At 48.6% G+C, this 21,979-nt stretch overlaps 1 protein-coding gene across 2 annotated transcripts, besides 5 other annotated features; it reads left to right on the forward strand.

Annotated features, from left to right (window-relative positions):
• Positions 2,747–3,276: an enhancer, noted in NCBI's record as "NANOG hESC enhancer chr5:174147650-174148179 (GRCh37/hg19 assembly coordinates)". NCBI's record gives its function as "activates a minimal SCP1, AML or CMV promoter by ChIP-STARR-seq in naive H9 embryonic stem cells {active_cell/tissue: H9 hESC(naive)}" and the evidence as "EXISTENCE:reporter gene assay evidence [ECO:0000049][PMID:30033119]".
• On the forward strand, positions 6,682–12,996 carry MSX2 (msh homeobox 2). 2 transcript variants are annotated; one of them, NM_001363626.2, is made up of 2 exons: positions 6,682–7,167; positions 11,259–12,996. In NM_001363626.2, the coding sequence occupies exon 1, from the start codon at positions 6,760–6,762 to the stop codon at positions 7,162–7,164; it is 405 nt and encodes a 134-aa protein (NP_001350555.1). In that variant the 5' UTR covers positions 6,682–6,759; the 3' UTR covers positions 7,165–7,167; positions 11,259–12,996. The 2 variants fall into 2 exon arrangements, with proteins under 2 accessions (NP_001350555.1, NP_002440.2); NM_002449.5 differs by having other exon boundaries at positions 6,682–7,138.
• Positions 13,653–14,216: an enhancer, noted in NCBI's record as "H3K4me1 hESC enhancer chr5:174158556-174159119 (GRCh37/hg19 assembly coordinates)". NCBI's record gives its function as "activates a minimal SCP1, AML or CMV promoter by ChIP-STARR-seq in primed H9 embryonic stem cells {active_cell/tissue: H9 hESC(primed)}" and the evidence as "EXISTENCE:reporter gene assay evidence [ECO:0000049][PMID:30033119]".
• Positions 14,217–14,779: an enhancer, noted in NCBI's record as "H3K4me1 hESC enhancer chr5:174159120-174159682 (GRCh37/hg19 assembly coordinates)". NCBI's record gives its function as "activates a minimal SCP1, AML or CMV promoter by ChIP-STARR-seq in naive H9 embryonic stem cells {active_cell/tissue: H9 hESC(naive)}" and the evidence as "EXISTENCE:reporter gene assay evidence [ECO:0000049][PMID:30033119]".
• Positions 15,271–16,931: an enhancer, noted in NCBI's record as "VISTA enhancer hs1256". NCBI's record gives its function as "enhancer in: hindbrain (rhombencephalon)[7/9] | forebrain[9/9] | limb[7/9] | nose[3/9]" and the evidence as "EXISTENCE:transgenic organism evidence [ECO:0001131][PMID:17130149]".
• Positions 17,298–18,228: an enhancer, noted in NCBI's record as "NANOG-H3K4me1 hESC enhancer chr5:174162201-174163131 (GRCh37/hg19 assembly coordinates)". NCBI's record gives its function as "activates a minimal SCP1, AML or CMV promoter by ChIP-STARR-seq in naive H9 embryonic stem cells {active_cell/tissue: H9 hESC(naive)}" and the evidence as "EXISTENCE:reporter gene assay evidence [ECO:0000049][PMID:30033119]".

A 21,979-nucleotide genomic window follows, 5' to 3' on the forward strand; every position in this document is an offset into this window, starting at 1 on the left:
TTGCAAGAATCCAATCCAGCATTAGTTACAATTCTGAGAGCAGCCCTCATAATTCACAGTTCATTCTGGAGTCACCGGGGAAGGCAACCTTTCAGTGAGTCACCCCTGCAGTCTCCACCACCACCTGGATTTACTCATTTATTCAACAAATATTTATTGAGTCCCTCACCATGCCAAAGGCTCTTCTGGGCACTGGACACAGTGCTGTGAATGCATGACAAATCCTGGGGGCCCCCACATCGGGTCTTCATGGATCCAGGCCCCAAAAGGCATGGTTTCCACATCAGTGGGGCACTGTAAGGCTCAGAGCATTTCCTGGGCAAACCTAAGCAATGTGATGCATTCTCCTACCTAACTCCCTCTGTGACCTCCAGCAAGTGGCCTCTCCTTTCAGACCTACATTTCACATTTCACCTCCGCGGTGAAATGGGGTGATAGACAGGAAGGGGTGGAGGCAGAAAGGGAGGAGGGAGAGGGGATTCACACTCCTAGTAACAAGTGAGGTTTTGGATGTGAAAGCATTGCAATGAGTAAAGCTAAATGCACAGTTTTCTGATTACCAAGGCAGGGGCTCTTCCTGCCAATGATGACCAGCAGCTCCCTCCGAAGGCTGGCACAAGCCTGGGGCCCAGCTCCAACACCCCAACTCCTCGCCCAAAAATGACTAACAACACTTAGAATAATTGCTTCTAATTGTCTTTATCCTCCAAATAAAACAAACCCTGCTTATTCCCCACCAGGCAACTGGGAGAAGGGGGTGGAGCAACTGGAAGAGATTATCTGCCTTAATTAAAAAATACAATTATGCCTATTAAGTAACCCCTCAAAGTTCCTTTTCCCATCTTCCCTACGTGTAGTCTGCTGCATTTTGAAGCTGAAACAACTTGGAGGCCACCAAGTAAGACAGACTTGAGATTTCTGTTGAATTATTTGGGAATCCATAATCCAGGGTACCCTTTGCCATAATCTAGAGTGGCAGGGCCGAGAGCAATTTATGTGTGTGTCCGTGCTAGTGACTGAGCCCATCCTGGACTCAACAGCCCATCTGTCAAGTCGGAAGAAAATGGAAATAGTAGATACTTCATTGCTGTGAGCAATTCCAGATGCCTCTCCTCTCACATTTACAGCAACCTCTGCTGCAGGCAAAATACATAAATTTTAGAATCAGCCAAATCCTGATTTGCATCTTTGCCAGGTATTTTCTAGCTGTGAAAAAACCTTATCAAGCCTTAAGCTTCAGTTCTTTCTTCCTTCAGGAGGAATAGGGCCCGTACATCACAGGGTTGCTTGAGGAATAAGTGGGAGAGAGCTGACGGTTATTGAACCTCGATTAAAACCTCACCTCTGCTCAGCCCTGTATGGGTGGTTATTCTGGTTTTACAGATGGGTAAACTGAAAGGGGTGGGGGACGGCAGAGATTTGTGAATGGCAGGGCAAGATCCCCTAGGTGTTCTCCTGGATGACCGGGCTGGTTCCCTAGGGCTGCAGCCACCAGCTTCCTGGAACCACCTCTTCCAGGGAGTCCTTTGGGTCTTTCTCTGCAGACAAATCAGCCTCGGCCCTGCTCGTGGCAACTTTCCTCCAATCAGGCAGGGGTTGAGAAGAGACCAGAGAGCTGTACCCAGGGATTGGGAGACAGGAGATACTCCCTGCTGTTTGTCTAAACCTAAAGTTTCTTCTTCCCTTAATCTCCACCTCTCACTAGATAGATCTGCCAATCTGCTTCCTTCCCAAAAGGTAGGTAGTTATTCCCATTTTACAGAAGAAAAAAAAATGAGGCTCCAGAAAGTTGCATGCCTCAAATCATTCAATGAGTTCCATGCCTCGAATCATCCAATATTAGATCATTCGATTTCAAATGTGCACGATGCCCAGGAAGATCTATTGGAAAGGGAGGTAAAAAGTAACATCGATAATGACTTAAGAAATGAGAATAATATCCCACATTTACTAAATGCTAGGCACTCTCTCATGTTACAGCTGCTGAATCTGCAGTGCAGAAAAGTGAAGTGATTTATCTAGTCTCACAGGAAATACATGGTTCAACCTTACTTGAAGCCAGTTCAGCTCTAGATCTTGAAGCCAGTTTAGCTCTAGGAGATCCGAAGCAGAGCTGTCTCCTGGGTCAGTGCCTGCTTCCAGCACACTCAGCGCTACTCGGTATTTTGTAAGGCTTGTCACCTAGTTCTCACCAGCAACCCTGTGGATGGGCATTAGCATGCCTATTTTCTGAAAGGGGAAACCAAGACCCAGCAAGGTGACGGCGGAAAACGGTGAGAAGTAGGGCCTGGATTTGAATATAGAACTACAGAAGGCCGACCCACAGCTCCTCCCCTCACACCTGCTGCCTCCAGAACTAGATGTCCCCATGAACTCGCCATCCCCTCTCCAGGCTGTGGGACCTGCAAGGAGATGCAGCTTCTTTTACCTCTACCTCCCCCGCCCCCATCCTTGTGATGGTCTTCTTCCAGGGACACCGTGTTGAATTAGGTTTTACCACAGCTGAAGTCAGGCCAACCTCTCCCCTCTCTGCGCCTGGACGACTTCATCTGTGGAATGGGGAGAAAGCTCAGGCTTTAGGGGGCCTTCAGTAATCTGCATCGTGCTTTTGGCAAAAGCTCCTTCTCTCCAGCCCCGGCTCAAACCCGGGCTCGGTCCTGACTCCGGACCTTAGGGGGCGGGAACAGGAGAACAGGAAAGAACAAGCTTGGGCTTGCAGAGCTTCGCAAGCAAGACGTTTGTACCCCCAAAACCTCCAGCTGTGACCCTGAATATCTATCTACCCGACTTCCTGGGCTGTGTAACTCGGAAAGTGATCTCTCTAGACACCAGAGGACCGAACCTTCCCCATTCTCACTCTGCAACAAGCCAGTAAGAAAAATGAGCTCAGAGACGAGTAGCCTTTTGCCCGAAGTCACACAGCCAATGTTTTGGGGGGTGGGTGAGCGGTGTTGTGGAATTCCTGGCGGATGTTGGCGCCCGCGGGTCTGCCTGCTTCTGATACCCGGGCTCGGTAGAATAGGCCGCTAACGAGCTCCCATTAGGAGGAATTGTCACTCCTCTGGGAGCGAGCTTGTCCCATTAGGGCGAATTGTCATTCCTCCTGGAGCGAGGTTGTCCCGGCTCCGCGCAGGCTGAGTGCTGGGGCCGAGAGCAATTAACGCGGCTCCGGCGCGGGCAGCCGCCTCTGCCCCGGGCAGCGGGGGCGGGGCAGGGCGGGGGCGGGGCGCCCGGCGCGGCTGGAGCCGGTCACCCGGCGCAGCCCCTTCCCCCGGAGCCCGCCTTTCATCTCCCCGCGCCTGGCGCCTGCCCGAAGCCCAGGCCCGTCTACAGCCCCCTTCGCTGCCCCTCCCCCGCCCCCTTCTAGCCGCTGGGGTTACAAACTAGCCTTCGGCCCTCGGGGTTACAAACGCTGCGTTCTGCGCGCAGTGCTCCACAGTTTGCAAGGAGTGTTTTCTCCTTGGGACTCGCAGCGCGCGTACGCGGTTGCTTCAAGAAGGGGCCTGGCGGGTGTAACGCGCCCCGGGGAGCGCGGGAAGGTGCAGGGTTGAGGATCTACGCTCAGAGGCCTCAGCCGCGCGGGAGGGATTCCTGTGTCTCCCACTTCTACCTGCGCGACCTTGGGCAGAGTATTAGCGCTTCCCAGCCTTAGGCATTCATCTGTGAAATGGGAAAAATAATCTGCTAGCAGCGGTGTGTTGGAAGAAACCAATAAGATCCTGGATAGGTCCAGGCACTAAAGCATCCTTCAGAGTTGATGCTTCCTGGTGGCTGAGTTCCTATTGGAACCCCGCTTTTTTGCTAGCAAATATTGCAGCTACGCATACATCCCTGGGAACTAACATTTACTGAGTGCCTTCTACGTGACAAAGCCAGTTCTCCGCTAGATCACTGTCCCCAAACCTGGACACTTCTCAGACCGAGCCAAATTCTCAGCCCCGGAAATTTTACAAAGAACCTACCGTAAGCTCTGGGATGCACCTTATCTTTCGATCCTTGGCAGGGAGAAAGCATTCGATACATTGTGATTGCTTTTGATATACAATAATGTTTTAACCTGGACCTCCTATGCCTTCTAGTTACTTTAGGTAGCCTATTGAATTTAATCACCACCAGAGTCATCTCAGGTAAGGATTATTATCTCTCATTTTGGAGATAAAAAAAAAAACGCTGGCTGGAGGAAGCAATTTAGAGTGCCCAAGGTCACTCCGCCAGGAAAAGGTGAATAAAACGTTCTGAAAACGCAGCCAAAGTTGGATAAAATGCAGACTTGGGGCTTTCCATAAAGGGCTAGCGTTGTGTTGCGGTTCCAGCCCTTTCCCAGCAGAAGTGAGCCCCTTTCCCGATTTGTCTCCACCTCAGCAGAGAGCTGGGGAGGGAACTGGCAAAGACCCCAGGAGCAGGCTGGTTCCTCTCTCAGCATCTTTCCTATTCATGGTCAGAGCTTGGCACTCTGATTTTGAACACCGGTAATTTTTTTATCTCTGTTTTCCTATTCCTGGCTTTGTAATTTATTTGTCTCTGCCTGGACTTCAGTATTCCAGAGTAGTAAAGGGGACCTGGCTTTTCCTTTCCCAGAGAAGTTCATTAAAATAAAGGAGTTCCAGTGGTATTGATTTTTGTTTCGAATTTCTCAGGAATGAGCCTGTGTGCCTTATAGCTGACAGATATTAACAAGGAGTTTTCAGGAATAATTATAAAACATTGGCTGCGTTTAGCCTAACTGAAAGTTGAACCCTTTTGTACACTTTGGCAGCTGAGGGCTAAACGAATTTCAGATTTGCTTCCAAAATATATAGCCTGCACCTTGCCTTGTACATCTAGAAGGTACAGAAGTTAATCTGGATTTACCTGTACTGTATTTGAGATGCATATCAAATCAACTATCACCAGGTATGACTCAAGGGGAAAACGCATACATCTCCAGGTAGTTTTCATAGTTTTTTTTTTTTTAACTTTTTTGAGCCTCCAGTTGGTTAAGAAGAAATGTGCATATTCTTTATAGTGAGAGAGAAACTCAGAAGTTTTAGAAGACTGTGTTTAGGACTTACTTACTCTTTTACTTTTTCAGGACCATCTTTAATCAAACTGAATTAACTGGCCTGTGCAGACTGTCTTTATCCTCTAAGATTCAGGTAATACTTTTTTCCAGTTCTCTCCGGCCAGCACAGTTTCACTTCAGGGAAAGGTTTGGGGTGAAGCAAACAGTGCCTCAGAGAGGTACATTGGGAAGGGTACATAAGGGTCTGTAGGTCTAGGGGTCAAGTTTCTAATACTCCTGAACTGGGAGGTAGCCTCCAAGCCTTGGTCATTTAAATAATTAAAAACAATGTCTCTCCCTTCCAATGCTCTAGGGAATGTTTAGCAAGCATCTGCTGTAGGCGAGGTCCTGAACTGGGTGACTTCCTATTTACCTCGTCAGTCGCAGGATAATCGTTCAGATATAGGAAAAGACAGCCGCAGCCTGAAAAAAGTCTTTTGAAGCTAACCTTCTAGGTCAGGCATTTTGAGGACCAGCGGAGAGATCCGAGGCCTCTAATCCTCGAAGCTCGCTCTCCCCTTCCCCAGGCTGAGACAGTCATCACTGAGGCTTTGGAAAGGAATTACCGAGGGTATAATTTGGGGTGGGGTGGAGACATCTATGTTTTTATAAAAAACCAGGTGCCATGAATAAAAATGTGCTTCCCAAAATGATATGTAGGCCTGGGGTGTGCAAACTTGGAAGCCGGTATTTCTGAGACTTGCAAACGAGAGGGAGGCACTAGATATTGGCGACTTTTCCTCCTCCCCCCCACCCCCATTACCCTCCGAGGCAAACACTGGCATTCAAACACGCACGACAAACACAGGCTCAAACAAACTCATGAATGCACACTTGCACTGTCTTGAGAAAAAGGTCGGATCCGGATCGCGCTCAGAAAGGAGGTTCAGGAGACAAGTACAGAGATTTCAACTTTCTAAAAGTGCGCTGGATTTGCTTTCTAGTGAGAGAGATGGGGACAACTGATTTAAATTCTTCACTCCGAACCATTTGGGAGAGAGGCACTCCTGACCACTTCTCGGGCTCCTTCCGGCCCCTCTTTTCCAGGGGAAAGAGTTGTAATAATAACAGTGGGCGCTTTTGAGCGCTGGCTAGTGGCGAGTTACTCTTCTAAGTGCATACATTTCTTTCACAGGGATACTGGCCTGTGAGTTTCAGCACCGACTTTCTGGAACTGTAAAGTAAGCCAATTTTGACGCATAGTAGGGGCTTCGTAAATGTTTCTGCAATGCTGTTTGCGAATCTTGAACTTATTCTGGCGGTAGAGGGAGAGTGGGATGGGCGCAGGGTCCCTTTTAAAGAAGGGTCAAAAGAGAGAAGAAATGGGACTCGGCGAACTTCCGCTTTAAATAATCGCTCTTAATTAGGTCTCGGGCTTTTCAGTTTCGGCGTGATTATAACCCTTCAGGGATCGCCTAATAACAACTCTGCTGACTGCTCCTGTAATTAACTCCTAATTTATTTCAAACAGGAAAAAAAAAAAAAAAAAAAAAAAGGAGGGGGGGCAGCCCCTTCGGGAAGAGCCAATCAGGGGCGAGCGTCTCTGGCGTCAGCGCCAGGCCCGGCGCGGATTGGCGGCGCGCGTCTCCCACTTCCCCTCGGAGGAAAGGCTCAGCTCCCAGCGCGCCCCTCCCGTCTCCGCAGCAAAAAAGTTTGAGTCGCCGCTGCCGGGTTGCCAGCGGAGTCGCGCGTCGGGAGCTACGTAGGGCAGAGAAGTCATGGCTTCTCCGTCCAAAGGCAATGACTTGTTTTCGCCCGACGAGGAGGGCCCAGCAGTGGTGGCCGGACCAGGCCCGGGGCCTGGGGGCGCCGAGGGGGCCGCGGAGGAGCGCCGCGTCAAGGTCTCCAGCCTGCCCTTCAGCGTGGAGGCGCTCATGTCCGACAAGAAGCCGCCCAAGGAGGCGTCCCCGCTGCCGGCCGAAAGCGCCTCGGCCGGGGCCACCCTGCGGCCACTGCTGCTGTCGGGGCACGGCGCTCGGGAAGCGCACAGCCCCGGGCCGCTGGTGAAGCCCTTCGAGACCGCCTCGGTCAAGTCGGAAAATTCAGAAGATGGAGCGGCGTGGATGCAGGAACCCGGCCGATATTCGCCGCCGCCAAGTGAGTGCGCGCCGGGGCAGGAGTAGGAGGTAGCGCGGGGTACTGGAGGGAGCGGGGGGCGGGTGTTCCAGGGCTGAGGGTACCGAGACCCTTCTGCGTGCGCTACACTCCCGGGAAAGCAAGCCCAGGGCCTCTGGACTCCTGGGTGCCCGGGGCGTTCGGCGCGCCCAGTGCGCCGTCCGCATCCAAGACACCCTCTGGGTAATAACCGCGCTGTGTGTGTCTGAGACTCCCTCGACATACAGATTGTTTTTTCAAGAGCGAACCCCAGCTGGGTTTACGGGGTCGCTCGGTGGTCCGTTTCTACAGCCCTCGGCCCTGCGCTCTGGCCACTTGGCTTGTTTTTGTTTCACTGTTCCCCGGAGTCTCTGCCTGGGGAGTGAAGGAGTTGGATCCATGTTCAGTGAGCACTTGGATGTACCAGGAACGAGACAGGTTCAAAACTCAACCCTGAGAGTTGTGCCCCCATTTTAAAGATGAGCTAACTGGGCTTAGCCAGACATTGAGGAGAAACCATTTTCTTTCGTGAGTCCCGCGGGTGTCGAAGCCGGATCCCACGAAGGGATGGTGGCACCAGGGATGGTGGCATCAGAGTCTGGTGCGGGGAGGAAATGTCTCTCTGTGGTCTCCGCAGCCAGCACCTCCCCGGCAAGGTTCTGAGCTTCGCCGGGAGCGGGCTGGGGCCAGAAGCGCACGGGCTCTTCTTGGCTCACAGTAATAATTAACCGCATTCCAGCAGGGCTTGAGAGTTTGCAGAGTGATGTTCACTAGCTCACCAGATCGAGATCCTCACTAGAACCCCCAAGTGTAGACACTGGACTTGTGACTACCCTATTTTTCAGACGTGGACGCTGAGGCTTTTAAAGAAGACGGCCTTTGCTTGTCCCAGGTTACCAACAACCACTGATTGGCCAGGGGCACCTGTTGCCCACGCCCTGCTCCTCTGTTTGATATGCCCTGACCACTTTTGCGTCCTCTCCCCAGAGAGACTAGGTAGAGATCCGCACCTGCACCCCACTTGAGAATTGAGGCTGCAGAGAATTCTCCGCTTCAGCATCCATTTTTGGTCCCTGAGTCCTTTTACAATTTGGAGACGTCATCCTTTACAGCCTCTTTTACTTTTATCTCTTGGCTTTTATGGTTTCTCTACCCCCTAATTTCCCACCACGCCATCCCCTACCTGTAGGAAAGGTGAGGGTGGGGGCTGTGGAGGGACTTTCTCCAAAGCTGAGAGAGATCCTTTCACTATTTACATCATTCAGCCCTCAAGACTAGACGCACTGTATTTTGTTAACAAAACAAGGCCATATACCCAGGCGTCAGTGGCTGTCCCCTCTGGCAGTCTCTCTCCACCCTGTTAGAAACTCTGAAAGATTCAAAGGGCGAGGAGATTAAGGGACTCAAAGAATTTAAACTCAAGTTTGGATAGTGCTTTATAGCACTTTTCACCGTATTATCTTATCTCCTCTGTAGGGCAGCAGCCGGCCTCTTAACAGATGAGGACATTTCAGCAAAGTTCAGAGAGGAATCGGCAGTTTGGGCCTGACCAAAAAAAAAAAAAAAAAAAAGCTGGGGACCATTTAATGATCACCTACCAGGTGGCAGACAGACAGGGCTCTGGGTACTCTTAAAATTTTAGTACTGTGGACCACATTGAGGGATTAGTGTTACTTACCCACTTTATCGACAGTGAGGTAGAGGCTCAGAAAATTAAAAGACTTAATTTGTTTAACAAATATTGAGTACATAGCCTACGCCTATGCCCAGCCAATGATACAGGCCTTAAATGGAGTAGTGTCCAGAGGTTAGGAATCCTGCCATCCTTTAGGCCTGTGGGTCTGGAAAGGCAATGACTACTACCCCTCTAAACATCTCTGCCCTGTGCTCAAGCTTCCCTGCTCTGGGTAAGGCAACCTCGGGCCCAGGCTGTGACCTTCCCATGAAAAGAACCAGAAATTCTGAGAACCGAGTTTATAACCTGCACATTCTGCACATGTATCCCGGAACTTAAAGTAAAAAAAAACAAAAAAACAAAAAAAAAACACCATGAAGAATTGTTGGTGCTTTGGGCCTGGAGGTGGCAGCGGGAACCCTGTGGTCAGAGTAGTGGGTCCTGAGAATGCCAGGCGACGGAGCCTGGGGCGAGAGGGAGCTACCCGCCCGGGCCTGATTTTGTTATTTGGAGGAAGTAGGATAAACGCTGTTTTGCCTTATATAATCGCATCCTTCCTCTGGCTGGTTTAAAATTAGGTGGGGGTGGAGGGATGGGGAGTGTTGCATTGGGAGGAAGCCTCATAGCTTCATGGTTTTGATACACATGTGCGATCCCGGTCACCTGGATTTCATAATTCAAATGTAACCCGAAGGACCAGCTGGAATTACCCTGCCCAGGCGCACAGTGCTTCAAAACCCCACGTAGAGCCAGGAGCAAGAGTATATACACGCTAGGAACTTGGTATCTGAGCTGAGACACCTGAGTCCTCCTGAGGGCCCGGCCTAGTTTAGAAAGGGCGAGAATTTTGCAGGTCTCTTGAGAGTCTCTGACAGTGTTGTTAATTTGTAAATTAAGAAGCTGGCTCCCCGGCTGTCTAGTAACTTAGGGATTAGCAAATGCAAAAGTATAGACTTTTATGGTAGTTTCTTATCCTTCCCTTTCCCAGATTTCTGTTCTTTGGTTGGTTACAAAGCCTCTTATCTCTTTTTGATTCAGTAAAGTGATGGGTAATAATGCGACACTGGAACAAATCCATCTCTTGTTGGAAATGGAAGCTGGGTTGGGACTTGTGCTGTGTCACCCTCAAGTATGAAGTGTAAACTCTTTCTTGGGCCACCAAAGTAACTAAACAAGAAATGCAACATTCTCCCATGAATACATTAGAGTTAATACTGTGGCCACATTTGGAAAATTAGCATAGCTCGTAAAAGCCAAATGCAGAAAATTAATTGTTAAGTATTCTATCACCACAGCTCTATCCTCCTCCGCCCACCCACCCTTGAGGAAGACAAGCCCAAAGTTAGTTGATGCTATGGAATCACAAGGATGTCCCAGTCCGTGATTTGCTGTAATTGAATCCATTTTAAATGTGGAGTCTGGATGCTGTTGGCATACCTTTATTTTGCTTGTTTTTCCCCCTGACAAACAAATCATTTACACATTTGCCCGAAGCCATAGAATGGGTAGAGGGGATGACTAAGATGTCATCACGTGCTCTCAATTTGGAGGCAGCATGATTTCCCCTGACATTTACATTTATGGGCTAGCTAATTTTTCCCTTCGTCTTAGTAAAGTTTATATTACAGAAGCGCCCAGCCAAGAACCTTATCCCACATCCAGATCTGTAAAATGATGTTCAGATTTTATAATCTGTGGACTGGATGCAATGACAGCTTGTGACTGTTTATTGCGTGGGACTGCCCCCAAATTCAAAGATGCTATTAATTTACCACAGACCTTATCTGCACGATTATCCTTCATAAATATGCTGACGCAATCCACTTTTTCTGGTTCAGAGAGGAGACCAAGGGAAACAGCTAACCCGGTTGCTAAAACCTTTTTCATTTTCCTTCCCATATGTGATTGTCTCCATGTCCAAGGGAGGCTGGGCTAATCATGAACCTGGTCTCCCATTTTTAAAGAGAAGATAAATTATGCTCAGAAGAGATAGCGGTTCATTTCTCACCGACCACTTGATTCCCTTGTCTTACATTAAATGTTCTATTTCTGTTATCTCTAATGCTGTTTGTTTTCCATATAGAAGGTTCAGTTACACCATTACATTTCCAAAACTTTTCTTAAAAAACTCATTTTTAAAAAACGAAGCAACTTACCCATTTATATATGGTCCCCCTCCCCCCAAGAAACACACATAGTTTTGACAAAGGTACCTTTTTCAAAGATGAAACAAAGTATGTCTTTCCATACATAGATATGTGTGTGTGTGTGTGTGTGTGTGTGTGTATATGTATGTATATATAGATTTTTTTAAAGCTAAGTGCTTTCAGTTGAGAGGGGAGGCCCGAAAGGAAAAAACCTAGAGAGATGACGGGGGAGATGGGTTTTTTTTAGTATTATTTTAATGTAACTTTCTTTTGCTAATCCGCTCCTCTCTCTGTTCTCTAGGACATATGAGCCCTACCACCTGCACCCTGAGGAAACACAAGACCAATCGGAAGCCGCGCACGCCCTTTACCACATCCCAGCTCCTCGCCCTGGAGCGCAAGTTCCGTCAGAAACAGTACCTCTCCATTGCAGAGCGTGCAGAGTTCTCCAGCTCTCTGAACCTCACAGAGACCCAGGTCAAAATCTGGTTCCAGAACCGAAGGGCCAAGGCGAAAAGACTGCAGGAGGCAGAACTGGAAAAGCTGAAAATGGCTGCAAAACCTATGCTGCCCTCCAGCTTCAGTCTCCCTTTCCCCATCAGCTCGCCCCTGCAGGCAGCGTCCATATATGGAGCATCCTACCCGTTCCATAGACCTGTGCTTCCCATCCCGCCTGTGGGACTCTATGCCACGCCAGTGGGATATGGCATGTACCACCTGTCCTAAGGAAGACCAGATCAATAGACTCCATGATGGATGCTTGTTTCAAAGGGTTTCCTCTCCCTCTCCACGAAGGCAGTACCAGCCAGTACTCCTGCTCTGCTAACCCTGCGTGCACCACCCTAAGCGGCTAGGCTGACAGGGCCACACGACATAGCTGAAATTTGTTCTGTAGGCGGAGGCACCAAGCCCTGTTTTCTTGGTGTAATCTTCCAGATGCCCCCTTTTCCTTTCACAAAGATTGGCTCTGATGGTTTTTATGTATAAATATATATATATAATAAAATATAATACATTTTTATACAGCAGACGTAAAAATTCAAATTATTTTAAAAGGCAAAATTTATATACATATGTGCTTTTTTTCTATATCTCACCTTCCCAAAAGACACTGTGTAAGTCCATTTGTTGTATTTTCTTAAAGAGGGAGACAAATTATTTGCAAAATGTGCTAAAGTCAATGATTTTTACGGGATTATTGACTTCTGCTTATGGAAAACAAAGAAACAGACACAATGCACACAGAAAATATTAGATATGGAGAGATTATTCAAAGTGAAGGGGACACATCATATTTCTGCATTTTACTTGCATTAAAAGAAACCTCTTTATATACTACAGTTGTTCCTATCTCTCCCCCGCCCCCCACCGCCCCACCACACACATATTTTTAAAGTTTTTCCTTTTTTAAGAATATTTTTGTAAGACCAATACCTGGGATGAGAAGAATCCTGAGACTGCCTGGAGGTGAGGTAGAAAATTAGAAATACTTCCTAATTCTTCTCAAGGCTGTTGGTAACTTTATTTCAGATAATTGGAGAGTAAAATGTTAAAACCTGTTGAGAGGAATTGATGGTTTCTGAGAAATACTAGGTACATTCATCCTCACAGATTGCAAAGGTGATTTGGGTGGGGGTTTAGTAATTTTCTGCTTAAAAAATGAGTATCTTGTAACCATTACCTATATGCTAAATATTCTTGAACAATTAGTAGATCCAGAAAGAAAAAAAAATATGCTTTCTCTGTGTGTGTACCTGTTGTATGTCCTAAACTTATTAGAAAATTTTATATACTTTTTTACATGTTGGGGGGCAGAAGGTAAAGCCATGTTTTGACTTGGTGAAAATGGGATTGTCAAACAGCCCATTAAGTTCCCTGGTATTTCACCTTCCTGTCCATCTGTCCCCTCCCTCCGGTATACCTTTATCCCTTTGAAAGGGTGCTTGTACAATTTGATATATTTTATTGAAGAGTTATCTCTTATTCTGAATTAAATTAAGCATTTGTTTTATTGCAGTAAAGTTTGTCCAAACTCACAATTATTTTAAGAGGTGTTCTCTGTTCTTAGCTGGGCTTAGCTCGAAAGTGCTACCCACATGAGGGGGAAGCTGGTCTTTTTTAATATTTTAATGTAAGTCAACCAAGAGTTGTGGCCAGATTCAGCCATGTTGGGGTGATTGGTGGTGGTGGGGAGTGAACTGAAACTACTGAAATACTTTGAAATGTTTCCTCTGGCAGCTTGTTACTTATGGAAAAGAGGTGGAATTGCTGCGAGGAGTTTTTCAGAAAAAGTACAGTGAAAGATAAGCTTTAAATAAGTGGTGAGGCGGAGATCGGCCAGCATCTAAATCATTTGTACATGATCAAGGGAAAATCTTGAACTTGAAATCTCCCAGCTACCAACACATCAAACTTAAAACTGAGGAAAAGGGTCCTTATAGCTGTTTGCAAGTGGACATGGTAACGAGGCGCATTCGCTGGGCTGGGGGATGGAAGCCGGCTCCCCTTTCAGGAGTGTGTGAAATCGCATTCCGTTTACCATTCCTATCTCCTTCCAAGGAGATGGACTCCGAGCAAACACTCTTCGGTTTGAAGTGGGAAGGTGGTTCGTTCAAGTCCCTTTGCTACCCAGCCTCCCTCTCCCAGTGGAAACAATACAGAACTGCTGTCAGGCTTGGGTTTTGAGGCGTCACGATAAAATGGTGACAGGTGGAGGACGCTGAGAAGGATCTTAAACTCAGCTTTCTGTTGCCCAAATAAATCTGAAGTGGTTCCTGATGATTGATACCTTTCCGAGGTCAGTGTTCAGATGGGAGGCTCCGGTGACTCGGAACAGAGGCAGAAAGGATGCGAGGACTTCTTGCTGCGTAAACAGCGCGGCGGGCAGATTGGCACCTGGCACCTACCAGGACTGGCGCTTCGTCCCGCGTTTCCATTGTGCCCGCACGCACTTTGAAAGTGGGCGCCGGAAACTCCGTTTTTCTTATGGGGCCGGGGTCGGGCAACGTGGTTCAGAGGTTTCACAAGCTCCAGCACAGAAGTGATCCAAACCGAGGGGTCGGCTCGAAGTCGGAGGCTGATTTTGTCTTGCTCAGTCGCTCCGCCGGAGCTGAGCCGCTGGAACGACCCAAACCTACCTGAAAGCGCGTCTCTGCAGTCCCGCTGGACTTCTCCGGCTCGAACTCCTAATCTCAGCCCGGAATCCAGCCATATTCATTTAAGGATTGCGTTTTCCAAAGGCCAAAGCCTTTCCCGGTTTCGTCATCAGCCGCCAGGTTGGGTCCCTAATTAGCCTGTCCACCGAGCTTCCTTCCCGGCGCCGCTTGGACCCCGCAGCCCCGGGCGATCTCAGCCCGGGTGGGGAATCCGGAGACGCCGGCTCCGGGTTAAGACTCTGCTCGTCCCCAGGAGGACGGGGTCGCGATCCAGAGTGCGATCCGGAGAAAAGGGCTGCATCTTGCGTGGCTGGCGGGTTAGACTGGAATCCGTCTGGGGAACTGCGCACCATCCCCATCGCTCCAGACGCCGAAACAAAACCTGAGGCTCGGAGAGGGGAAAAAGAGTTGTTCAGGCTCGAACATACGCATCCCAGCCTCATAGGTGGATGGGGTTACCGAGCTGAGAACCAAGCCGGAGGTCCGCGAAGCCGGGCCGCCCCCTTGCTCTGGGCCTCCCTTCAAGCCTGCAGTCTGGGGATGGGTTCCGAGTCACCGCGGTCCGGGCCTCGGTCAGGCTTGGTCGGGCACACAGGGCGTTTCAGAGGCCAGATTGACAACCTGTGGCGGCAAAAGGACTCTCCCTCACCAGGGACCCGCGAAGGCGCGCATTGCAAGATGTTAGCGTGCGGGCTTTAGATATCCTTGCGTCCGATGCCAGAAGCCTGGCACGCAAATTTACCCACCCTTCCATACTTTCAGTGCTTTGTTCGAAACTTTTCAAGAGACACAGCTCTGCTTTTTGGAAAGAGAGGAAGAGAGCAGGGAAATCGCATTTATGGAGCCCCTGCAGAGTGCAGAACTAGGCTTCCCCCCCCCCCGCCCCCCGCCGGTGTTCTCATTTAGTTGCCACACACTCCTTGGAGAGGTATCATAGATGTCATGTATAGTTGAGGAAACTGAGGCACAAAGAGGTGGCTCACTAAGGTCACAGAGCTGATAAGTAGGGGCAGGGAAATCCAGGCCTCAGTGTGAGCGGAGGAGGTGGGTATGAAAGATGGTGAGGGCAAATCAGGCAGGAGGTGTCTCAGAAATGATGCCAGGGCCTGGGGAACACTCTGGATCCCCAGACCCTGAGATCCCAGATCTGCAGTCTCTCTCCAGCTCCCCTTCCTATCCCTCATTGCTCCTCTAACACAGTGGACCTGGGGCTCAGATCCAGCCCTCCCCTCTCCCCCTTCCAGCCCTGCCTGGGCGATCTTGCGGGGAATGGAGGGAGCAGGGCGGCAGGAGGTAGGCAGTGAAGGCCTGGCTGAGAGCGGTGGCTGGCGAAACGTCTGCCTGACCCGACTGAAAAGAGGATCCCTGCCTTTGAGCAGAACCTTGTCTGACCGAATGAAAACTCCCACGGCCATTCTTTGCTATAAAAGCCGCTCATTTGCCACGGGTTGGAGAGGCCATTCCCCCACCCCCACTCCGTCTCCACTGTTGGGTTTGAAATAAGCATAAACCTCATTTATAAAAGAACCCACGTCACACACACCCTCCCCGAAATCACAGGGCCTGGTTGGTGAAGTTGACTGTGTCTGTTCCTCTCTCTCCTTCCATTTTTGTAAGCAAAAATGTTTTCCACCCCGCATTGGTGATGCTGCAGGCTTCTTTAACAAAATAAAGTGGTCACAGCAACAAGGAAAAGCCCTCGGTCAACTCCCGGACCCCTTTACCCGCTCTCCCACCCCCAGCCACCCTCTCACCTCCTCCCTCCTACAAACTAAATAAAAAGCAGTAAAATTACTTTCCAGAATAGCCCGCTTCAAAGCAGAACAGAGGACCCGGCTGCAGGAATCCTGAGTCTTGCCCTGATAAGGTTCATAATAATCAAATCCAAACTCCATCCACCTCCCTTGACTCTTTCCAACCTCCTCCGGACCTCTCTGCATTTGTTGATGAAAACACTTTGATGTCCTGAGTCCTCCAAACAATTATTATTATAATTTTAAACAACCTGGTATTTTCCATTACTAACGGCTGAGGCTTTGAAGTTACACCTCATAATTTCCTAAATTAAATAAATCATTTTAAGTTTGCACTGGGAGGCTTTTAATAGCAGAGAAAGGAATATCATTATCTTATTGAGACCCAATTGTGGTGGCTCCAGTTTGGCTGTAGCTGGGGGCAAAGTAGGCTCACTCTAACAGACATACTTTATTAACCTCCCATAACTCTTGAAAGAACATTTTTATATTTTCTTTGATTTCCCCCCTCCCTATCTTGTTTTAATGCTGTCCCAACCTTTAATTAGTGCCTAATATGAAAAGCATTATTTTTTTAATGCTATGTAATTTACCAGCGGCAACAGGCCAACTTAACAATTGTTTATTAGACTTGGTTTTTCACACAGGGCAAAGAATGCCGCTCCAAACCCAACTTTTCATGGGTGGTTGCACTAATTAATACAGTGTCTGAGACTCCTAGGGGGTTTTTTAATATTGAAGCCTATGGGGGCGGAAGGGGGTTTTAGAAGTCCAGCTCCTGCCGACGAAGTTCTCCCTCTGATTTCTTTCATGCTGTTTTGATCCTGTCTGTGGAGTCAGCACAGACAGAAACTGTTCCCTGGCTCCGAAGACTCCAGGATCCCGAGGCAACAGCCCCGGGAACCCCCAGCACCTCCACTTGTGAATTATGTCTAGCGGCCTAGGCTTGGGGTACAGAGAGCCCAAGGCTCACCCCAGACTTGGATGTGGGGGTTCCCCTCCTCCTGCCTGGAGGGGGAAGGAGCTGGCTTGATGGCTTGGGCTGGGAAGGAGTCAGGCTCTTGGGGGCAAATGCCAGGTCTCCCAGGCACCAGGCAGCGCTTGGCTCTGGGCACAGAATTTGCTGAAATTGAGTCAGGGACAGGGATGGGGTGGGGGAAGGCTAGGGGAGGACCCAGGCTAGCTTCCTTCCTGTCTTTTCTTCCTCTGACTTTTCGGCTCAATTTTCCTCATTCTTTTGTCTCTCATTTTCCTTTCTCATCTTTTGCGCTCCCTCCTTTTCACCTCTTTCTCTTCCTTTTTTCTTTTTTGCTGTCCCGCTTTTATTACCTTTCCTCCACCTTTCATTCTTTCTCCTGTCTGTCGCACTCTGTACCTTTCTAATTTTTACCTCTATCTTCTTATTGTCGGTAACTTCTTTTCAAGTTATCATTTTTAATTCTCTTTTCCCTCTCTTCCCCCACCGCCTTCTTTGCCTGTCACTTTGCTCCTCCATGGCATCTCTCAATTTTTTTTGTTTTCTAATTGATTCTCATTCCCACCGTCTCCTATTTCCCCCCTTCTCTTCTCTTTTCCATTCTCTCTTCCCCTGTTCCAGCGATTTCGTGGCGGATTCTGGGAGCCCAGCCCAGTGCGCCAGGAGCGGTGCGCCCAGCGCAGGGGGCTCCTAGTCACCTCGACCCTTCCGGCGCCCTTCCCTCCTTAGCTGCACCTGGCAAGCCAGCAAGGGAGTGACCCTTGCGCAGGAAGGGGGCGCGTCACCCGGTTTCCCCATAGAACCGTGGGCGTCGCAGGCGAGAAGGGAAGCGTCCAGGCGCTCGGCCCCTTCCGCCCCGCCCGCTGCCGGCCGCCCGTTTGATGTCGCGGGCCCGGCAGGAATGCGGCCGGGTTATCAATCACCCAGCTGGATCCCGAAGGTCTCTGCCTAATCACATTTAATTGCTCGTGGAGGCCCACTCTCGCCCCGGGCCGGCCGCCGCGCTCAATTACTCCCCAAATACCTGCCATCAATAAATACGCACTGACACCGGCCCGGCCCGCTCCACCGGCACGGAAGATCGCAGCCGACCAGGCGCCCTCCTCCCTGCCCCTTGTCCCCCATCATTAAACTTACACCTCGACGCCCAAAGAAGCAAGCCGAGCAGATAATAACAGCCCCCTGTAACTGAGCGCTTCCCAAGTGCCAGACACTGTTGCTCGGCGATTTACACCAATCAACTCACGGGTGCTAGTGAGTGCTCGTGGATTTCACCACCGTCCGGGAGATGGTATTACCATCTCCTTTGGAGCCAAGGGAACCAGGCTCAGATCATTCATTAATGCGTCCGAGGTGGGGTAGATAGGCAGTGCCCCAACTGGGATGGGACTTTGCAACCCCGTGATTCCACAGCCCATGGACAAAAGCACGAGGCAATAGTGCCTCCCAGAGGCCAGATATTGACCTGGGGTCCCGGGCACTAAGGTGTGCTGACCAGCACCTAAAGCCAGGTGCCTCTTTAATCAGTATTCAGGCAGCATTTTATTAGTTCCTCTCACCAACTTTGTGAAGTAGGCACTCTTAGCCCCATTTTCCGGAAGTGAGCTAGGGGGAGTTCACCCTCCAACTGAGGCCCAGGCCTCTCTCCAGCCTGAACACTTCCACCACCCCGGGCTGCCCTCCACTCCCCCTCCCCCAGCATTCTGCACTCCGTTTTCACTCTATACCTTCCAATCAACCCTGAAATTCAAGAACTATGGTTTCTCCCATTTTCCCAGAGCAGCAAACTGCCTAAGGAGGTGACACAGCAAGGCAGGAATCACACAGTGGGTGAGCTCAGAGCCCAGAAATCCATGTCAGCCCCAGCCCCAGCTATTTGCATTACGCCATCCTGCTTCTGCTGAGAGTCTATGCTTTACAAGAGAGCACATCATGTCTACATTTTATGTGGTTTACCATTCATGGGGAGGCAATAATTACACTTCTAAACAAAGATGAAGGGGGTGAGTGTCATCTGAAGTCAGCCTGTGACTTCCTTTATTTCATACCCTTTCTTAATCCCCTGTATTTTTGTATAAAATATATGCCAGTGTCCAAATACTCTCATATTCAGGATCTCATGTGGCCCTCAAAGCAATAGGTGGGGAATTACATTCCCATCTTAAATAAAATAAAAAGGGTGCTCTGAGAGGTGAGGTGACTTGCCTAAAGTCACACAGCAAGGAAACAGAGCCAAGCTTGACAGATAGCTGTGCAGCGTCTTTTCACCTGGATGAGGTTAAGTCTTTGATAGACTGGAAGAGTGTGTGTGTGTGTGTGTGTGTGTGTGTGTAACCACCAAAGTGTACATTTCCCTGAAAAGGGTTTCTGGGTTGCAGGGTCTGATATAAAAAGCACTATTTTAGTGGCAAAGCTCTGCCTATTTTTATTTCAGTGCTGAGAATGCTTGATGATGGAAAAACTGACTTTGCAAAGAAATTGTGTATAAGACGCTAAAGTGCCTCTCGAAATCCCATCACAGAAAATTAGCTGAAAGGTAGTGGTGATGGATAAGGCAGTTATTGATGTGAAATTGCCCAATTTGGGGAAAGTCTGAAGGCTGCAAGTGTTCATCTCCTCCTCCTTCCCACCGCCTCAGCGGCTCGCCCCGTCTAGTCTTTCCGGTTGGATTTCTCTTTGTTTAGCAATGGGAACAGAGAGGAGCCAAAAAGACAACGTAGAAAATCCCAGGGGTGGGTGTGGGGAATATGATCTCGACTGAGAATTCCAGGAAAGCAACTGGGCAGTGAAGTCATCGAGAATGGATGTGGGGTGGGGGCGGGGCAACATGCTTCAGCCTCTGTGCCCTCAAGAGGTGCTGGCACAGGGTAGTGCGATGTAGCCACCGCCTTTGGGACTGACCGTGCAGATCTAGTAGCCACTGCCTTTGGGACTGACCGTGCAGATCTAGTAGCCACCGCCTTTGGGACTGAGCGTGCAGATCTAGTAGCCACCGCCTTTGGGACTGAGCGTGCAGATCTAAATTATTACCAGGTTAGGGGCATCCGTGTCTTGCATAGACACCACTAAGCCACAGCCCACTTTCATGAGAAGGTAAAACTGTTTTTCCCCCTTACAAAGAGCAGGAAAATGCCAAGGAAATTAGGCCTCAGAAGGAAAGATTTCCAGAGCCTGGGGCTGCTGACATAGTTTTTCAGGGCACTGATGCCCACATTTTTCTCCACATGCAATCCCTATCTAAGTCTGGGACTAGAACGAGGACCCACAGGCTATTTTTTAAGAATAAGATTAATAAGATGAATGTGAAATGACACTTTGGGGTCCAAAATGACAATATTAACAACATACAAACTCAACCTTCTTTCTCCTTTAATCAGCAGTAAGTTAATAATTATTATTGCTGAATTTCAGCACATACCAGTTATCCTGAGTATTGAACCTGTGTTGCCCCAGGACTTTCCTGAAATTCTCAACACAGAATTATTAAAATTCACTATAACTAAGAAGAAAAAGAAGAGATGTACTGTGCATCTCATTAGATAATAATTGAATTAAATGAGCACTTTCTGTGTGCCAACAAGTCCTTTACATAAGGACTCCATAATTTCATTTTAATACACATAGTAGCACAGTCACACATCATCCTCATTTTATAATCAAGGAAACTGAGACCTTGAGAGATTATGTAGCTTGCTCATGGTCTTGCCACTGGTGAACGACAAAGCTGAGATTTGAGCTATTGACTCTGAAGGAACTCGCTCTCAAAACTGCTGCTGCAGGGCATTCACTGTTTGGGGTTTGTGTCTCCTATAGGAGCAGAAGCCAGGATGAAAGAAATGGTCTTTGAGTCCCTTGGGTTTCTGAATTGATTTAAATAAGAAGTAGTAGGCCGGGCACGGTGGCTCATGCCTATAATCCCAGCACTTTGGGAGGCCGAGGCGGGTGGATCACCTGAGGTCAGGAGTGTGAACCAGCCTGACGAAGATGGTGAAACCCCATCTCTACTAAAAAAAAAAAAAATACGAAAATTAGCCAGGCACAGTGGTAGGCGCCTGTAATCCCAGCTACTCGGGAGGCTGAGGCAGGAGAATTAATTAAACCCTGGCAGCAGAGGTTGCAGTGAGCCAAGATCGCACCATTGCATTCCAGCCTGGGTAACAGAGTGAGACTCCATCTCAAGAGAAAAAAAAAAAAAGAAGAAGTTGTCATCAGAGGCAAAATGACATTTCAGGCTAATATCGAATCAGAGGCAGAATAATATTGAAGGGCAACACTATAGAATCTTAGGGCAGAAGGGAATTTTATTATCATATCATGCAAGAGGTTCAGAGTGAAAGTGACTTGCCCAAAGTCACTTAGCAGTTGTGTGAAAGAACAATATTTCAAAAGAAAAAAAAAAAGAGAGAGAGAGAGAGCCATATTTCTAGTTCAGTTCAGCTGAGCTAGATAGAACTAGCTCAAATGGCTCTGGAGATTTGATTTCTGAGCAACCTGAAATCCAGTTCTTCTGTACCTTAAATGTTAAGTAGCTCACTAAGAGAAGCAGCAGGATCAGGAACAGCAGGATGGGAAGTGGGTTTTGGTTTTCAAAAATATCTATCCATCCCCTACAGCCACGTCCACATTATACGGATAATATACACTATATATATATATATTTTTTTTTTTTTTTTTCTGAGACGGAGTCTCGACCTGACACCCAGGCTGGAGTGCAATGGCGCAATCTCGGCTCACTGCAACCTCCTGCTCCTGGGTCAAGAGATTCTCCTGCCTCAGCCTCCCACCTCCCGAATGGCTGGGATTATAGGTGCACGCCACCACGCCTGGCTAGTTTTTTGTATCTTTAGTAGAGACGGGGTTTCTCCATGTTTGCCAGGCTGGTCTCGTACTCCTGACCTCGTGATCTGCCCGCCTCGGCCTCCCAAAGTGTTGGGATTACAGGCGTGAGCCACCGCGCCTGGCCATATGTATATTATTTGATTTTATCAAATACATAATATTTTCTCAAGCTCAGAGTAAAAGTATTTTTAGAAAACATTGCTATTTTTATTAATCTTTTAACATGCCATCAAGATCAAAATAGTATGCTTGCTAGGCAACAAGACAAATCTCCAACCCCGTCATACTTTCTTCCTAA

Source organism: Homo sapiens, chromosome 5 (genome assembly GCF_000001405.40).
Source record: "Homo sapiens chromosome 5, GRCh38.p14 Primary Assembly".
Classification (NCBI taxonomy): Eukaryota; Metazoa; Chordata; class Mammalia; order Primates; family Hominidae; genus Homo; species Homo sapiens.

Excerpts from the sequence above, each read along its gene's own strand:
- MSX2 (NM_002449.5), top strand. The coding sequence starts at position 6,760 with ATGGCTTCTCCGTCCAAAGGCAATGACTTGTTTTCGCCCGACGAGGAG. Across the intron at positions 7,139-11,258 it reads CCGATATTCGCCGCCGCCAA|GACATATGAGCCCTACCACC; the intron begins GTGAGTGCGCGC and ends TCTGTTCTCTAG.